Source organism: Homo sapiens, chromosome 3 (genome assembly GCF_000001405.40).
Source record: "Homo sapiens chromosome 3, GRCh38.p14 Primary Assembly".
Lineage (NCBI taxonomy): Eukaryota > Metazoa > Chordata > Mammalia > Primates > Hominidae > Homo > Homo sapiens.
In genome coordinates this window covers 134,166,777-134,186,547 of record NC_000003.12, presented here as the reverse complement: position 1 = coordinate 134,186,547, position 19,771 = coordinate 134,166,777, and the positions used below count along the sequence as shown (strand labels likewise).

Here is a 19,771-nt window from a genome sequence, read left to right as displayed (position 1 = left end):
AGTGCATTGCCTCAAATTTGTTAGAGAGATAGCGCCACATGACTGTCTCTGAGATTGATTATTTTGGAATGCTGTTTTTATGGTTTTAGTTGTAGCCACATAGAGCTGACCAAGGTCTTTCACAAATCTGTATGCTTTGTTACATGTTGCACAATTAGAAGTTTAGCATAAAATAAAAAAACAGTGTTTTAGAAAGCACTGACCTTTGCCTTTAGGCATAAGCAGAAAATTGGAGTTTGGCTTTTAAAAATATTCATAATTTTATACAGAGACTTCATAGATACTCCAGTATAAATTTCCAGAGATTGAAATTAGCAACCCGAATCTTACACACTAAATATTGTGAAATTGAATTCCATAAAATAAATGAATCAGTTTGGATTTACTGGTATTAAGTTCTTATTTTCTTTATTATAGCTACTAAATTTTTATAGTTTTGTAAATAAGCAAGTGTTTGTTTTTAAAAATCATTTTGTGCATCCTTGTAACTTTTAGAATATATTTAATAGTACCCTTTTCAAATGTGTACATCTTGAAGATAGACCTTTCATTATGTAATTAAAAGACTAGGATGAGACTGGGAAAGGAATCCAAGAAAACGAGTTTTTCTTACTAAATGGATAAAGTTATTTTATCTTTAATTGAGTTTTCTTAGATCATCATTCAAGTGTCCTTTGCTTTAATAGAACATGCTTATCAAAATAAAAACTTGAAAAAAGTAAGTATAAAATGACACATTCTGAAATTACCATTTGTTGTACTTAGATCTCCTTACCAGTTGAGGGAATGGTAAAAGTCTTTTTAACTGGGCAGGGACCTCCAACTATTACTAGTTTTCAGTCTTGAAAAGATCCTACTAGCCTCCAGTAGTCCTGGCCATAATTTCATTAGAAATTATTTAGGTTATAGAAAGAGTAATAAAGGCACATTTTGCTATTTACTAAGAAATCCCACAAGCAGTTTGTAGACACTTAGAGTTTATTCCAGCAGACATTGATATGAAGCACCTTTTCCAAAGAAGTACCGAATGTTTCAGATCCTTGGCTTTTTGTCTACCCATTTTACATTCCTACAAAAGTCTTAACTAAGAGAAGTTGCTTGGAAAGGGGACACTTAGTAGCAAGTAATGGAAGTGAAGCAAGACGAAGTGAAGCAGGAATGAGATTCCAATGGGTAGATGTGGAAGTAAATGAAATTTGAGATTTCTCAGCTTTGACAGTTCCACATTTAAAGACCAAATGTGACAATCATAGTATCTGAATTCAGTGGGGTGGGTTTTATTGTTGGTTCAGCATTTTCCTAGGTGGGTCTAGAATATGAATCTTGGCTTTGCCAGTCTTTTACATTTCTCTCTTCCTCTTATTGCATTGGTCCGAAGCTTTATAAATTATTATTTAATTAATTAATTAATTTATAGATGGGGTCTCACTCTGTCACCCAGGCTGGAGTGCAGTGGCACAATCATAGCTCACTGCAGCCTCAACCTCCTGGGCTCAAGCAATCCCCCACCTCAGCCACCTGAGTAACTAGGAATACAGGTGTGCAACACCACACCCTGCTAATTTTTTTTTTTTTTTTTTTTTTTTGTAGAGATGGGGTTTCACCATGTTGCCAGCCTGAGCTTTACAAATTATTATTGCTGTTTTTACTACTGATGTAAAAATTCGTTATGGGTTTCTTTGAAAGGGTTTTTAAGAATATACTGTTAAGTTTGTTTTAACATTTAAAAACTATTTTTTAAAATTCAAACCCACTTCTTATTTGTTTATTATTATTATTTTGGGAGACAGGGTCTTGCTCTGTTGCCCAGGCTGGAGTGCAGTGGTGCAATCATGGCTCACTGCAACCTTGATGTCCTTGGCTCCAGCAATCCTCCAGCCTCAACCCCCTCAGTGGCTGGGACTGCTAGTGTGCACCACCAGGTCCAACTAATTAAAAACACTTTTTGAAATAGAGATGGGGTCTTGTTGTATTGCTCAGGCTGATCTTGAGCTCCTGACTTTAAGTGATCCCCCTGCTTCAGCCTCCCAAAGTGGTGGTATTACAGGTGTGAACCGCTGTACCTGGCTGCATTTTCAATTTTATAATAGAAATATTCTTTTCAAGCAGTGGAGAAATTCCTCTATACTGTTAAGGTCGTGGTCCCTATAAGATGAGGAATCCTTGTGGATTTGTGCAAATATTTGAAGGCTTAAAAATTCCTTTGGAGATGTAGACTTAAAGATATTGGTAAATTGCATTATCATGTTTTTGTTTCAAAAACATTGACCTAAAAGTTCATTTGTTCTGTTTTGCTACTTTGGACCAAAAACCATGAGTTTAGAAACTAAAACTAAAATGGCATAATTCTAATTTTGGTTATCATATGAAAGTTAACTATATTTTTACTACTGTATTATTAGTTCTTTTTGTTTGTTTTTAACCACAGAGAAGTAAAAAGAAGAAAGCAACAGAATAGGCCATAATCTCCAATCATAACTTTTGTAGTCATTTTATACCTGTAATGTTTGTTAGGTTAGGAAGTATAAACAGAACAGAAAGGTACAAAACCTAAATTCTCCCATCTTGAAAAGTAGCCATCATATGTAAACAATTCCTTAATATGTAAGAAATATTAGGATATGTAAACACAAGTTGTACCTTGTTTTTGAAATTTAATATACCTTAGAGATCGTCCTCTGTCAGTACATATCTCATTTTTCAAAAGTAGCCACATAGTATCCCATTGTGTCAATTTAATTAGTTCTTTGTTAGTGGGTACTTTGGTGGTTGAGTTTTTTTGCCATTGAACAGTGCTCTTATTACATTGTACATAGATGAGCTTTTGTGACTATATCTGTAACAGAGACTCTTAGCAGTGGGATTGATGATGGAAGGTATATCTGCATTTCAAAATTTTGTTACATGTTGCTTTCTCCATCTATCCAAGCTACTATTGATGAACCTGTTTTCTCACACTCTTGCCCAAATTCTTAATAGTAGGTAGTGGAATTTTTTGTGTCTCAATTTGACAGGGGAAATGGCATCTCCTGGTTTAATTTGCATTTCTTAGGACTGAGGCTGTGAGTCGTTTTGTAATCTTGTGTGTCATTTGTTTTTTATTTTCTCAGTGAACTGTGTGTTTATATCCTCTGCCTCTTTTTCTTATTGATTTATATGAGCTATTTAAATAGGAAAAAAGGAAGTTAGCAGTATATATGCCTTATGTGTTGCATATGTTTTTCCAGTCTGTTATTGCATTTTCTGCTTTGTTTATGGAAACTTAATTGATTTTAATATAAAAATTTCTGGGAAAATTGACCTATTTAATGAGACTGCAGTAGAATTTTTATCTAGATCTATTTAGATTTACCTGTAACTTATAATGAAAACCTATGTACCTTATAGTTCAAGATAATTATTTACTAATAGCAGAAAATGTTAATGCCATATATGTAGTATTATTATTCAAGACATTTTCTTTTCTTTATATATAGATCAAGCTTCTGAAATTCAGGTGACAATGATGCTCACTGAAAGTTGTAAGCTGCGAGGTCTTCATCACAGGTGAGAGGAGAAACCACCAGCATTTCAGTGTTGAGCATGGCAACACTTGATGCCACATTTTTATGTGCAGAACATTGTGATGACTTCTGAATTGAAAGCTTTGTGGAATAGCTTAATTTTTTTTTCTGAATATAAAAGTGAAATGCATTCTCATTGCACAAAACTTACAAACACAGTAAAGTATAAAAGAAAACAAAGAATAGTATGTAAGCCCACATCTGGATAATCATAGCTAATCTAGCTGATCTTTCCAGAAATAATTTATACATATTTATGTGCACATTTCCCTTTAAAAAATAGGATGATGGTTTACATATGTTAAAAAATATTTGTTATGAGATTTTTGAACGTATAGGACCTCAAAGTCAAGTATAATAAACATGAATAAATCTTCCTTCTAGATGCAGTAATAGTTAACATTTTGCCATATTTTCTGTGTTGTGTATGTTTGTGTATTTATCCATCTGTATCTAGAGACATATCTCTAGATACAGGTATCTATATATTTGTGTATATAACTATTTTATAATAAATTAGACATCTCAGTACTTTTAGTGCATGTCCAGCATGTATTTTCAATAAAAAGAAGATAGTTTTCTTTATAATCATAATATCACTGTTGTCTTTGACAAAGTTAACATGCTTCTTAATTTAATGAAACAATGTATCTGACTTTTGATATTGGCAACTGTAAATCCATGTAGCCATTTAAAAAGGCTACATAGTAGTCCACTGAATGGATGTACCACATTTTATTTAACTAATTTCTGGTATACAATCATTATGCCATAGCATGATTTTTAAAAACTACTTATAGTTCTATATGAAGACCTTTTTTTTTTTTTTGGAGACAGAGTCTCGCTCTGTCACCCAGGCTAGAGTGCAGTGGTGTGATCTTGGCTCACTGCAAGCTCTGCCTCCCTGGTTCACGCCATTCTCCTACCTCAGCCTCCTGAGTAGCTGGGACTATAGGCACGCCTGGCTAATTTTTTCTATTTTTAGTAGAGACAGGGTTTCACCGTGTTAGCCACGATGGTCTCGATCTCCTGACCTCATGATCTGCCCACCTCGGCCTCCCAAAGTGCTGGGATTACAGGCATGAGCCACTGTGCCCGGCCATGAAGACCTTTTTTAAAAGCTTGGTATTGGTCCTGTTCACAGAACTGTAACAAAAACTTCTACCTTTTGAGCCAGAAGCAGCTTAAATGTAACATCATAATGTGTGACAGTATCAACATTAGAGCAAATTTTTTTAAAGCACTATATAGAGTCAACATAATTTGTATGTCTACTGAAAATTTGATCACATATGTTTAAAAAAAGAACTGTGGTTATCTCTGTTGGAAGATGTTTATAGGCTTCTGAAAAAATATAGTTTCTGTATACTTTAGACAGTTCCTTGAGTTCTGCTGAAAAATAAGGTGACTACCCAGAGCCTTACTTTTAAATTTAGTTATATTTTGGTTCATATTCAGAAGGATTTGAGGACCTAAAAAGAAGGCAGCCACAGTAAGATAAATAAAATGGTAATGAAAAAGAAACTGAGTTTTTTGGCATTGTGGTGGTAAAAAAGAAAACAAATGAGCCAGCAGTAAGGAGAACAAATATTTTTACTGTGACTGAACATAAAACACCTCCTAGCTTCTCGGCAACCAAGGGTGAAGGAAACACTAAAAGTTGATAATCTCAGTAGCAGAAGGGAAAGAAACAGTTGGAATATTGTCCTTTTTGGCAGTGTTGAAAGTGCTTAATGGTCTATTACACTGACTCTAGGGAGAAGGGCCAAAGGTGTTTAATCCTAGTATATAATGTTAACCTATTACTTAGATACCTAGCCAATGTTCTTACCCCAGTGAAAGGTTTGCATCACTTCAGCACAGAAGTGAGTAGCAGGGATAAATGTAGACAAAGCCAGGATTTTCCCAAGAAACGGTTTTATATTCACTGTAGCCTTAAAGATGTCTTGGCTGAAAAATGCTCAGAGCAAGCATTTGCAGTGTTGTGTCTCATGCAGTTTTAGATTGTAAGGTTTTGCAGCATCCCATCAGGATGAATTAGCAGTCTCAGGAGGTCCTTAGGGAATTGAATGACATTACATACTAAATTGGGGTTATTTGATACTGAGCATTCAGTCCTTGAGGAAAGTCTTGTAAAGGTAGGTTATAGCTTGATTATGCTTAATTGTTCTTCCTTCTATGAGGTGATAGCAGGAGTCCTAGTTACAATGAATAAAACACATTGTCAGCATGTAGAAAGTATATTATTCTTTCCATTCATTGTAGCAGTTCATTTCATTTTTAAGGTGACCAGGGCCTATCACACATTTTGTTTTGATCCTTAATATGTATAGACTGTTCATAGCTATACTTATGTATTTGTTTGTTCATTCTTTTATTCTAATTCATTCAGTACCCATTTTGCACTTGGAACTGTGTTAGGCAGAATGAAAATGAAATGATCTTCAGAGATCGTATTATAGAATTTATCAAGCAACAGAATATAGAATTTATTCAGCAAGAAAAGACACCTGTTTTTAGATTTTACCTTGTGGTATGTAATACAGCATGTTTGCTTCATGTTTTAACATCCATGGTTACGGATTGTACGCGTATTGAAGTGTTTTAAAGCATTTTGAAATCCTTTCTTTTCACACATTTTTCCACTGGAATTTATGAAAATAATTTTATTAAAAGTTAAAATAGCTGTATACATAAAAGATATTAACCTATTTTAATTTCATTAGAAGTGCTTCACATCAAAGTACTCTTGCGCTATTTCTGCTTGTAGTTTGGCCCCTTCATTGGCCCAAAGATGCCTGATGGTGAACACTTCTTATGCCAAATGGCTCACAGCTCTCCCTCTGCAAACGCCCTCAACAAGACTGAGAATTAGAGGCAGTTCTTGTGCCAAGCCCCACAGAACCTACCCTTCCTGTACCTTCTTTCTTCACTATAGCATCTCCTGCTTTCATTCACTCTTCTTAGAGATCCAGACCTTCCCCTTCATCCTCCTTTTCATTACAAGATGGGCAGAATGAAAAACAGCCATTTGTACTTTGAAACATTTTCATGAAGTTTGTTAGCTCTACCAGTGGATTTTTAATCCTGTGGTAGTGGAATAAAAGATTTGACTTCACCCAGCAAACCTAATGGATAAAATGTCTTTAACTCTGCTAAATGAATTTCAGTCACAAAGAAAGAAACAGAAGTAATCTTTGGTGAGTTAAATAGATTGGGCAACAGTGTTTAATGGTATGCCCAAGTTAATCCTTAGTGTAAACCTGTAGTCATTTTAGTATTCATGGGAGTTGGTGGAAAGGAAGCTCTGTAATCTCCCATGTGATCTCCCTTGCTCCTCTGGAGAGAAAGTCTAGTGGTCCAGGGGAATGCAAAGGGTATTGAATCAGATGAAGATCTGATATTTTTCTCCGTGTACTTGCTCTTTGTCCTTGGCAGGTTACCTAAACTTTCTCTCCCAGCGTGGATTTCCTTGCATATAAAGTGGAACTCCTAATCGCTGCCACTTGAGCGGTTATAGAGAGGTTGCCTCTTAGAGGTTTACTGATCTTTAAGTCCTCATTTTCCCACCTCCTCAGGGTCAGTGCTTTCCATGTTAGTAACTCCTGCAAATATGAGGGGAGCGCACAGCTTTGCCACTTGTGCATTGGTGATTGTGCCACGGTTTTATAACTGGGGTTTAAAAAGTGATACATGCTCAATTAAGACAATTTTTAGGAAATACAGAAAACAAAGCTGAAATTATCTATAGTCTTACAACTTAAAGACAACTCTTAACTCTTTGCATATTTCCATGCAGACCTTTATTATTTTTCTCCATTTTTATAATTATCTTGCAAATGGGAATTTTTTATCTTACTTTCTTGTAAGATAAGCTTTTACTTATATTCTCATATTGTGACCAATTGTGACTTATTATCCTGTTATTCTTTCCTTATTAAACATCCTTAGAAGCAGGATTTGCCAAGTTAAGGAGTAGGAATGTTTTAAGGCTATTTGTTACTGTTATTTGTTATTAAATGTTTGTTTTATATAGCATAGATTACGAAGTGTTGGGTATAAAAATTGAGTTTACCTTAGTTTTTGTCTTCTAGCAATTTTTAGCTTAGTGGGGAAGATGATATAATTATGTAAAAAGTTACATAACCTTGGGAAAAATTAGCAGTTATTTCCAGATGTCAGTGGAGGAGGTGTTATTAGACAGTAGGATGAAATGTATGTATGTATGCCATAGAAATTAAAATAGGAACGGGATTGTCCACTACATGCTTGGTTTTATTTTGCACATCACAGCAACCTTTTATGGTTGGTGGGGTCCCTATGTTATAAGAATGGAAACCAAAGCCAAGAGAAGATGGTCACTCTGATAGTAATTGGTAAATCTAGGATTCAAAAATCTGATTCTAAATCCAGTGTGACCAGCTAAGAACTTTTTGGCTTTTGTGGCAGTTTCAGCCTTTTAGAGACCTTTTTTGATGATCATATTCTTGACCACCGTCTGGATTGGGCCTTTTTTTTTTTTCATGTGTGATAATGGAGTAAGTGGGATATTGTTATCATAATACACTCATGGGCAAGTCAGTTTTTAGATGTCTCTGATTAATTGCCCTTTGGAGTAAAGATATAGTGTGGTTAGAGTGTGCCTTCAGAGAATCCAGCCCACAGGAAGCAACTTTGAGTTTATGATTTTTCCCTACCAAGAATGTGCATATATGGGGATATATGCACATATATAGGGGACACTTAAGTCTGGTTTAAAATACAGAACACTTATAATTTTACATTTTTAATGGTAATCATGTTTTTAAGTATTTTGGGGATTTTGTTTTGTTTTAGATTATTTTTATTAGAAGTAAGCCCCTAACATTTTGGATTCCTTTGTCTTTCTCCCAATTTTTTATTATTTTATAGAAATCTTCTTCCTATTACTCATGTGTGTATAGAAGAAGGAGAAAAGCCCATGGTGATATTGCCTTACATGAATTGGGGGAATCTTAAATTGTTTTTACGACAGTGCAAGTTAGTAGAGGCCAATAATCCACAGGTGAGAAAAATTTGCCCAAATACCAATTATTTACCAGTAGTTTCTGATAATGTCTTTGAAAGTAGATATTAACATTCTTAAATATAAACTGTTTAGAGGCCTGCAAAAAAGAACCTCAAAATGAACCACAAGATATTTATAACCTGTTGGCTTAAAGGAAAATGTTGGCTTATGTTCCTGCCTTGAGGCTTACACTGTGCTGATGCTGAAGTTTTCCTTATATTCTCGTTGTGTACTTATTCATAATCAACTCAAACCCTTTGTAATGCCATCTTAGGTGTTTTCCTGATAACTGAGGGTACTTGTCCTAGATCTTCCTCTTAGGAATGGAAACAGACTTTCTAGAGCCATTTGGTTCATACTATACCAAAGTCTGGTGATGACTGGAGGTCTAGATTGTGGGAGATAATTGGATGTATTGTTAATATGCGTGGCTGTAAGATGGCAGTCATCTAAGAGTGTTTCTCTTCCCTGCTTGTGTTTATAACTGTAAAGCAAAGGTCAGATACCAAGCATATTATGATGGTAGTGGTAGTAAAGCCTAGTGGGTTTTTTTTGCTGTCAGCTGTATCTTGTTGTCCCATTAAGTTGCTTTAGGATTTATAATAGTATGCTTATTATAGTTGCCAGGAGAAAGTGGGTTCAAAGGCTGCATTCAGTATTTGGCCTAATATGTATCATATGCTTTGTAAATTGACAAGACTAAAGCTGGGATTCTCAATAAGTGGTTAGAGGCTGTGGCTCATCTGCATTACCTGGGGAAGGATTTTATTCCTCAGCCCCAAGTACTGTCATACACCTAGAAGAACACATCAGCAGAAAAAGCTAGGAGCTCGTACTTTGGGTTTGTGTGTGGTTTTTTTTTGTTTGTTTTTTGTTTTTTGTGTTTTTTTTTGAGATGGAGTCTCGCTCTGTCGCCCAGGCTAGAGTGCAGTGGCGTGATCTCAGCACTGCCAGCTCTGCCTCCCAGGTTCACGCCGTTCTCCTGCCTCAGCCTCCCGAGTAGCTGGGACTACAGGCGCCTGCCACCACGCCCGGCTAATTTTTTGTATTTTTAGTAGACGGGGTTTCACCGTGGTAGCCAGGATGGTCTCAATCTCCTGACCTCGTGATCTGCCTGCCTCAGCCTCCCAAAGTGCTGGGATTACAAATGTGAGCCACCGCACCCAGCTGCAGGGTTTTTTTGTTTTTTGTTTCATTAGACAGGATCTCAGTCACCAAGGGTAGAGGGCAGTGGTGTGATCACAGCTCACTGCAGCCTCAACCTCCCATGCTTAAGCAATCCTCCCACCTCAGCCTCCTGAGTAGCTGGGACCACAGGAACATGCCACCATACCTGGCTAATTTAAAAAAAAATCATTTTGTGTAGAGACAGGGCCTCAGTATGTTGTCCAGGTTGGTCTCGAACTCCTGGGCTCAAGTGATCCTCCCACCTCAGCCTTCCCAAGTGCTGGGATTATAGGCATGAGCCACTGCACCAGGCTTAGATTTGTGTTAATTTGAAAATAATCCCAAAGAGAGAATCTCCTAATAAAAACTACTGTTTGGGGGAAAAAAAGATTACTGAATTATAAACATTTGAAATATTACCTTGAGAACTCAGCATTCACTGAACAGATGTATTGAGCAGCTGCTGTGTGTGCTGGATATTGGGGAGATACATCTAACAGATGAAAGGAGACAGAGTAAATGGTAGATTACAGAATAATAAGGACTACAGTTGATATAAGTATAGGGATATATGGGAACATAGTCTTGGTCAAGAAATAGCTTTTAAAAATTCTGTGTGTAGGTTTAAAGCAGTATTTTTGGATGGAGTAGGATTGTGGAATAAAAAAAGTAAGAAAGTGCCATCATATTTGTGTGCTATTTGCAAACCATGTTATTTTTTGTTACCACAGGCAATTTCTCAGCAAGACCTGGTACACATGGCTATTCAGATTGCCTGTGGAATGAGCTACCTGGCCAGAAGGGAAGTCATCCACAAAGACCTGGCTGCCAGGAACTGTGTGTAGGTGCCATGAGCTTGACGCTGTCACTTGATGTAGAGTGCTTCCTGGATTTGGGGTTCTCTGCGAGTCACAGTGGGACTTGTGTTGTATTTAAGGGTGGTGATGATCCCTACTTTTTAATACTCTGATTGCATTTGATGTTCATATCTTTACTTTTCAGCATTGATGACACACTTCAAGTTAAGATCACAGACAATGCCCTCTCCAGAGACTTGTTCCCCATGGACTATCACTGTCTGGGGGACAATGAAAACAGGCCAGTTCGTTGGATGGCTCTTGAAAGTCTGGTTAATAACGAGTTCTCTAGCGCTAGTGATGTGGTAAGTGCCGGGACCCCCAGATAGCAAAAGAATAGAGAAACAGCTTTCTGTTTTTAAATGTTCTACTATTTTTATCTTTTGGGTTTTTAAAAAATCTGCTAGCTGTTCCCGGAAATTTTTATCCAGAAAGCAAGTGTAATTAGCTGCCAGTCAACCAGTTTATGGAGAGGAGCTGTGACCCAGACCATAGGCCAGCACTGTTTGTAATCTCATTTCATCCTCACAGTACTGCTCTGACAGAAGCACTTTTTTTTTTTTTTTTTTTAAGACAGAGTTCCACTCTTGTAGCCCAGGCTGGAGTGCAATGGCGCAATCCTGGCTCACTGCAACCTCTGCCTACCAGGTTCAAGCGATTCTCAGGCCTCAGCCTCCCAGGTAGCTGGGATTACAGGCGTGTGCCACCATGGGCACATGCCCAGCTAATTTTGTATTTTTAGTAGAGACGGGGTTTCACCATGTTGGCCAGGCTGGTCTTGAACTCCTGACCTCAGTTGATCCACCTGCCTCCGCCTCCCAAAGTCCTGGGATTACAGGTGTGAGCCACCACGCCCATTGACAGAAGCACTATTAACACTAGGAGATAGGCTGTGGTATCCCAGTTTTAAAGGTGAGGATTTTGAGACTCAGAGCAGTTACAGTAATTTCATTATTATTTCTTTCTTATATAAGAGGCAGACCAAATAGTTGCTAGATCATAAAGATGTTTTCTTTTTTTCAGGTGACCTCTTCTAAGTGTTATGGCTCATAAAATTTGTAAATCCCCCCGTCATCCTCTTCCTTTTGTCAAGTTTCTGGGTGGTTTTGCCACTTAGCCAGATCATAGTTGGGCCCTTTGTGATGTACAGTTTCAGAAGCCACGTTCACTTGTTCATATTTTACAGCCATGTAAAATTTCTGTCACTTGATTTCTTAGTCTTATTTGGAAGACTAAGTGTAATTTATTTTCCTGTCTCTTGCCTGTTAGACTTTATTATTGTTGCAGAATATTTAGGGATTAGGTAAAACTTCTGCTTATAGGGTCCCACATATGTTCACTCAGTGATAATCTGTTTGTGTTATATGTAAAATCCTATAGAATAATTTGCTTCTAAGCTTCAACTGTAAGAATTGGGCTTACTGTATCATTGTATTTTGTGTGTCTATATTTTAAAATTTAGGGCTACTCTTTTGTTTCAAAGTGTGTATGTTTTAAGGATTAATCTTTTAATCATGTATTACTGTACGCTAATTAATTATATTAATTGGTATATACTCATTTCCTCGGTGTATGAGTTTTCTGTGGCTGCTGTAGCAAATTACTACAACCTTGGTGGCTTAAAACAATAGAAATATAGTCTCTCGTGGTTCACTTCTGAGGCCAAATGTCTGAAATCAAGGTGTAGTCAGGGCTGGGCTCCTTCCAGAGGCTCTAGTGGAGAAGCAGTCCTTGCCTCTTTCAGCTCTGGTGGCTGTTGGCATTCTTTGGCTTGCGGTTCCATCCCTCTGTTCCAAGTTCATACCACCTTCTTCTTCACATACGTCTTTCAAACTCTCTTTGCCTCCCTCTTAAAAGGATACATATGATTTAGAACCCACTTACATAATCCAGAATAAACTTTTCCTCTCAAGATCCTTAATCACGTTTTGTCATGTAAGGTAATTACAAGTTTCAGGGAGTAGGACATGGGCATATCTTTGGGGCTACCATTCAGTTCACTGCAGTCAATAATTGAAATGATCTAAGATTTCTTTACTGAAAAACTGATATTCTAATTTAAAATCCTTAAAATGAGAATAATTTGAGAAAGGGGAAAATTCCTTTAATTAACTCTAACTACTAAATAAATTTTTTTTCCTTTTTAGAAACTATGTGCTATTTGATATTGATATGGTTTGGCTATGTCCCCACCCAAAATCTCATCTTGAATTGGAATTCCCATAATCCCCACGTCAAGGGCGAGACCAAGGGTGGAGATAATTGGATCATGGGGGGCAGGTTCCCCCATGCTGTTCTAGTGAGTCTCACGAGATCTGATGCTTTTATCAGCGTCTGGCATTTCCCCTGCTCACACTCACTCCATCCTGCCACCCTGTGAGGAAGGTGCCTGCTTCTTCTTTTCCTTCGTCATGATTGTAAGTTTCCTGGGGCCTCTCCATCATTGCAGAAATAAGTCAATTCAACCTCTCTCCTTTATAAATTACTCAGTCTTGGGTATTTATTCATAGCAGTGTGAGAAGGGACTAATACAGATATATTGCTCCTTTTACATACCAAGTATTTTGATAAAATGTGTTCACTTAATGTGAATGAGCAATTTACTTATATAATTTTTAAATTTTTTTTTTTTTTGAGACAGAGTCTCGCTCTATCACCAGACTGGAGTGCAGTGGCGCGATTGCAGCTCAGTGCAACCTCCGCCTCCTGGGTTCATGCGATTCTCCTGCCTCAGCCTCCTGAGTAGCTGGGACTATAGGCGCGCACCACCATGCCTAGCTAATTTTGTTAAAATCAAGGTCTTTCATTTTATATATCTTCAAAATACTTTGTTTTAACTCAAGATAAACTATTCTCAAAGAAACAATTTATCTGACATTTGTGAGATGAACAAAGTAAATATGAATGATTATGAGAAGGGATGTGATCTGCTTCACAGAGCAGTCTCAGAAGCTAACACTGAATGACAACCTGTTTCATGTTGTCCACAGCCTCTCCTAGCCAGAGAGGCATCGGGCATGGTGGGTGATGGGTGGCAGGATGAGGGAAATAAAGCCAGACTCTTGGATACTGAATCCCAGGGTTCAGCTTATAGAGCAGTGGGGTACTAGTCCTGGTCTGTTTTTCCAGAGCTCTGATGATAAAGAAAAAATCTCTCTCTAGCATTAATGTCTAGAAGTTAAACATACCAAGTAAAGCAGTACAAATATGCAAAGCAGGTTATATTCTTTTTAAATCTCTACGTAATGAGAACCTGGGCTTTTTTTTAGGGAGAGAAAGGTTACATTTTTGGTTTTGATTTTTATATTTTTCAAATGACATACGAAGGGAAAGCAGAGTTTGATTTTAGACCAATGCACAGCTGCTGTACTGAATGACAGTAAGGACTAGTTCTACTCTTTGATAATGTTTTTGGTTTTAGAGTTGCCAAATCTTTATTCAGAAATTCTGAATTGTAGCTGGAACTGTTTACCAGCTCTACATTAAGCAAAGCTATTTTCATGGAGTGGGAAAGGGGACAGGAGGAATTGGTTTGGCTTTGGTTGTAGAACATAATTTTAAAACATAATATCAGTTGAATTAGAGCAGTGTGATCTCAAATTTACTCCTTTAGTAAAAGCTCACATCTAAACATTTTTAAATGTAGAAAAGTGAAGTAAACTTTTCTTAGTGTTTACTTTGAAAATTTTATTCCGTAGTTGATTTAAAAGATGGATTCACTCGTCTCTTTGGGATGTTAATTTTTTTATTTCCAGTGGTTGATTTAAAATTTTTATTTTGTTATTTATTGAAATATAGTTGCCTTTGCTGAAATGATATGGCTGTTGTGGTGAACCAAAACTAGTTCGATGGGCAGAAAATGGAAGATAATTCTTAGATGATAATCTATAAGTATTTCGTGTAATTTGAAGAGGTTGGAAATCTTTTTATTATTCTCTTAGAAAAAGGAGCATTGATAGCTTGTATTTCAAAGGGGTATGCAAGATGGCAAGTAGTGCTATTTGCTTGCACAGTGGAGGCCCCCAAAATATGTATTACTTTTTTTTTTTTTCCTTAGCTACTTCTGTTGCCCAGGTGGGAGTGCAGTGGTACAGTCATAGCTCAGTGTAGCCTTGTACTCCTGGGCTCAAGTGGTCCTCCTGCCTCAGCCTCCTGAGTAGCTAGGACTACCAGTGTGTGCCACCACACGTGGCTAATTCTTTTATTTTTTGTAGAGATGGAGGCTTGCTGTGTTGCCCAGGCTGATCTTGTACCCCTAAGCTCAAGCGATCCTCCTGCCTTGACCTCTCAAAGCACTGGGATTACAGGCGGGAGCCACTGCACCCAGCCTGTATTACTTAATTTAACGTATTTATTTCTGTGTAGGTATACCATTGTATAATTAAGCGATGATAGGAATTATTTTTTTGTAACATTTATGATTAAATATTTTGTAGGACCTACAGAGTGAAAATTAAGTTAGATAATATACTTTCAACAAATGAGGCTATAGCTAATAATAAATCTCCAAGCAAGATGCTCCAAGAGCGTTGAGTCTCTTCAGCTGGGTATTAGCTGGCAAAGTTCATGTTGAGGATACATGGTTTGGTTAGGCAGAACATTTCAAATTATATCAGAAATAGTTATTTTTATGGTTATGACATTTTGCAGGAGTTCACACATTTTATGTAAGAATCTGCCATCATCAGAATGCAGTTACACCAAATACTTAGTTGCTTGTTCATGTGGCAGCTTTATTTTAAAATATCACCATTAACTTAATGGTGAGCAGATTCACAAGAGAATTACTTTAGTTAGTTATTTAGTTTGTTATTACAGATAGAGTTTTTTATTCATTCTCCTCCTCCGCCTCTTCCTCCTCGTCATCTTTGCCTTTCTCTTCCACCTTTGTCCAGACAACTTTAGTGGGACCTTTTGCGCCATCAGATTTTCCTTTAGACTTGCAGTTAGCAACATCCTTCTCATACTTCTCCTTCAGCTTTGTTGCCTTTGTGATGCAAAGCTGCTTTTTAGTGTCACTTAAATTACTCCACCTCTCACCTAGCTTTTTTGCCACATCTCCAATAGAGATGCCAGGGTCTGAATTCTTGGGGCAGAATTCTGAACAGAACAGGAAGAATCTGGACAGTGACCTTTTGGGGACATTGAGGTCCTTTTTGTTTTTTATTTTTTTGTTTTGCCTCCCTTAGATAGTCCATAATCCTTCATTTCTGAATCATAGCATATTTTATCTACTTTTGCCATTTCATCAGATTTAGACTTCTCTTTCCCAGACATTGTCTTCCACTTCTCAGTGTACTTTTGGACAATTTTGCAAAAATTGACAGGGATCTTTGGGTTTTTCTGCTTAGGTTCTCTGTATGCCTGCACAAAGAAGGCATAAGCAAACATCTTGCCTTTTGGTTTTGTGGAGTAGCTTTTAGCCACCCTGACTGAATTGTTCATGAGTCTGGGCAGCACAGGGCATGACATGTAGCTTAGTGATTCCCCAGCCTCACGCTAGCTGCCTCCACAAAAGGCACCTCAACAGGAGAATTACTTTAACATCATAATTACTTTCAGTGTGTTTTGGCATAAACTTACTTGAAATAGCTGTGTGACCCAAATTTTCTGAGCTATACTTAGCATGTGATGTTAACAATATCCTCCGATTTGCATTTAACGTGGTTAACTCCTAGAAAGTGCTCACATTTTTCTTTTGTAGCTTATTATAAATTTGTTTCCATATATATGTATGTGTGTATATACAATCCCACACACACATATGTATGTATGTATCGCCTTTGCTTTAGATAATTGGAATTGAAAGGACTAGGAACACCCTTCTGTTTTCCATGACTATGATGTGACTGTTCGTGTAAAAGTCCTGCCTTTTAGTTTTTTGGGATTGAATTTTTTTTAATTCTTAAAATATTTTAAAGCACACTTGTTGAAGATTGCTTTTTAACATTTGGGTTGGAAATGTGTACACACAGTCATTATATTCTGTTACCATTTTTTCTTTATGGGTGAAGTTGGGGGCTTAAAAGTTACATTTAATATTCTATTTTTGGACACTTCCACCAGAGTCTATACACATGTGAAATACATATTTTTAGATGTAAATGTAGCACCCAACAAATGATACTGCTGCCTTGGAGGGAACATTTTCTCGGTCCTTTAAGACATCCTTAACATTTTTGCATTTCTTCATAATTAAAAATTCTACACGATTTATTTAGAAATACATTGATGTTTTCCATCATGAAAATAATACATTGCATCTCTGGGCTGTGTTTTCAGAATTTTTACTGAAAGGATTCAATATTTCAGTATGTCCAGATTCTTCTGTTAACGTCAACTTTTAACTGTTGAGCTTAAGAACTATGCACATCAAGATTTGACTAGTTATAAATGTCTAATATTATTCCAAGATATGACATCATTGTAGGCATTCTTAAGAATTTCTGGATATTGTTTTTATTGTGTTTTCATCAGATGTGGATACCACCATAAATTTTTTTATGTGACTTTCTTTTCCTTTATTTGAAAATAGAGTTCTTGATTTACATCTTCTTTGAATTACTTAGCTAATTATAGTAGCTAACGTAATTCTGCTCTTAAGAACTACTTTCTATTAGGAGATTACTAAATGTAATCAGGAGTATGCAGTTAGGAATTTCTTTCTTATTGGTTTTCTTGTCTTTATAGTATTACATTGTGTTTAAGAAGCATTTTCTTAAGAAAAACAAGTCAAGGAAATAACTTCCATGCCAAATATTATCAGCATGGTTTATGGCAGTGAAGAGATCCTTTTAAAAGTATTTGAACAGTTTTTAGGGGATAGGACAAATCAAAATGTGTTGCTTGTGCCTTTACATTATTTATTTTGTGACTATCAATGATCACCTAGAAAATAAAAGGAAGTCTGGAGTTATCCAGAGACTGCATCTGCAGCACATTGCTACGTATGACTCTTTTAACTCCCTGTTTGCCCAGTGCTGTGGAGGGAGCCCAGTGCTTGTTGTATCCTGAGCGACCTGAGCGGGAGAGTCTGACATTTATTATATACCCATGGAAAGTAGTCTGCTGAACTACTGTGGTATCAAAGAGAAAGCTAGAGTTACGGAGGATGCTTCTTCTTATTATTATTATTTTATTTTTTATTATACTTTAAGTTCTAAGGTACATGTGCATAACATGCAGGTTTGTTACATATGTATACATGTGCCATGTTGGTGTGCTGCACCCATTAACTCATCATTCACATTAGGTATATCTCCTAATGCTATCCCTCCCCCATCCCCCTACCCTACGAAGGCCCCGGTGTGTGATGTTCCCCTTCCTGTGTCCAAGTGTTCTCATTGTTCAATTCCCACCTATGAGTGTGAACATGCGGTGTTTGGTTTTTTGTCCTTGCGATAGTTTGCTGAGAATGATGGTTTCTAGTTTCGTCCATGTCCCTACAAAGGACATGAACTCATCCTTTTTTATGGCTGCATAGCATTCCATGGTGTATATGTGCCACATTTTCTTAATCCAGTCTATCATTGATGGACATTTGGGTTGGTTCCAAGTCTTTGCTGTCGTGAATAGTGCCTCAATAAACATACGTGTGCATGTGTCTTTATAGCAGCATGATTTATACTCCTTTGGGTAGATACCCAGTAATGGGATGGCTGGGTCAAATGGTATTTCTAGTTCTAGATCCTTGAGGAATCACCACACTGTCTTCAACAATGGTTGAACTAGTTTACAGTCCCACCAACAGTGTAAAAGTGTTTCTATTTCTCCACATCCTCTCCATCACCTGTTGTTTCCTGACTTTTTAATGATTGCCATTCTAACTGGTGTGAGATGGTATCTCATTGTGGTTTTGATTTGCATTTCTCTGATGGCCAGTGATGATGAGCATTTTTTCATGTGTCTTTTGGCTGCATAAATGTCTTCTTTTGAGAAGTATCTGTTCATATCCTTTGCCCACTCTTTGATGGGGTTGTTTTTTTCTTGTAAATTTGTTTGAGTTCTTTGTAGATTCTGGATATTAGCCCTTTGTCAGATGAGTAGATTACAAAAATTTTCTCCCATTTTGTAGGTTGCCTGTTCACTCTGACGGTAGCTTCTTTCGCTGTGCAGAAGCTCTTTAGTTTAATTAGATCCCATTTGTCAATTTTGGCTTTTGTTGCCATTGCTTTTGGTGTTTTAGACGTGAAGTCCTTGCTCATGCCTATGTCCTGAATGGTATTGCCTAGGTTTTCTTCTATTGTTTTTATGGTTTTAGGTCTGACATTTAAGTCTTTAATCCATCTTGAATTAATGTTTGTATAAGGTGTAAGGAAGGGATCCAGTTTCACCTTTCTACATATGGCTATCCAGTTTCACCTTTCTACATATGGCTAGCCAGTTTTCCCAGCACCATTTATTAAATAGGGAATCCTTTCCCCATTTCTTGTTTTTGTCAGGTTTGTCAAAGATCAGATAGTTGTAGATGTGTAGTATTATTTTTGAGGGCTCTATTCTGTTCCATTGGTCTATATCTCTGTTTTGGTACCAGTACCATGCTGTTTTGGTTACTGTAGCCTTGTAGTATAGTTTGAAGTCAGGTAGCATGATACCTCCAGCTTTGTTCTTCTGGCTTAGGATTGTCTTGGCAATGCGGGCTCTTTTTTTGGTTCCATATGAACTTTAAAGTAGTTTTTGAATCTGTAAATTACCTTGGGCAGTATGGCCATTTTCACGATATTGATTGTTCCTGTCCATGAGCATGGAGCGCTTATTATTTTTTAAAGTATAGAAAACTTTATTCATTATTAATTTTAGAGTAATGCATAGATTCCTAATATTTGTTTCCTTTATAGTTGTAGATTTTATATACAATAATCTTGGAACAATTATTTAAGTATTAAGTTCACATTAAGAGAAATAAATATTAAAGACAGGAAAAATCTAGAGGTGCAAGGATTATTTCAGACTTTAAGAAATAAAAATTTAAAATTTAACATTAAGATATTGTTTAGTTTTATTTAATGGTATTGTTTTATTCATCCTAATATTTTCTTGGAATGAGGAATAAATGGATTTACTTTAGGAAGAGTTACTGTATTTTCAGAGGTGAGCACTTGCTGTCCTGTGATCAAGTAGTTGGCCTGGGTGTTTTC

The 19,771-nt window shown here is 36.8% G+C and overlaps 1 protein-coding gene and 1 pseudogene across 3 annotated transcripts in view; one reads left to right on the top strand and one right to left on the bottom strand.

The window, feature by feature from the left end:
* RYK (receptor like tyrosine kinase) overlaps positions 1–19,771 on the top strand; it is a 93,727-nt gene that overhangs the window by 64,312 nt on the left and 9,644 nt on the right. For 2 of the 3 annotated variants that reach the window (NM_002958.4, NM_001005861.3), the window contains exons 10-13: positions 3,477–3,546; positions 8,475–8,607; positions 10,509–10,618; positions 10,780–10,939. In NM_002958.4, the coding sequence (NP_002949.2) occupies positions 3,477–3,546; positions 8,475–8,607; positions 10,509–10,618; positions 10,780–10,939 (473 nt within the window). Of the gene's footprint in view, positions 1–3,476; positions 3,547–8,474; positions 8,608–10,508; positions 10,619–10,779; positions 10,940–19,771 lie in introns of those variants that run through there. The other variant, XR_007095716.1, reaches the window with a different exon arrangement.
* HMGB3P14 (high mobility group box 3 pseudogene 14) lies at positions 15,449–16,104 on the bottom strand (annotated as a pseudogene).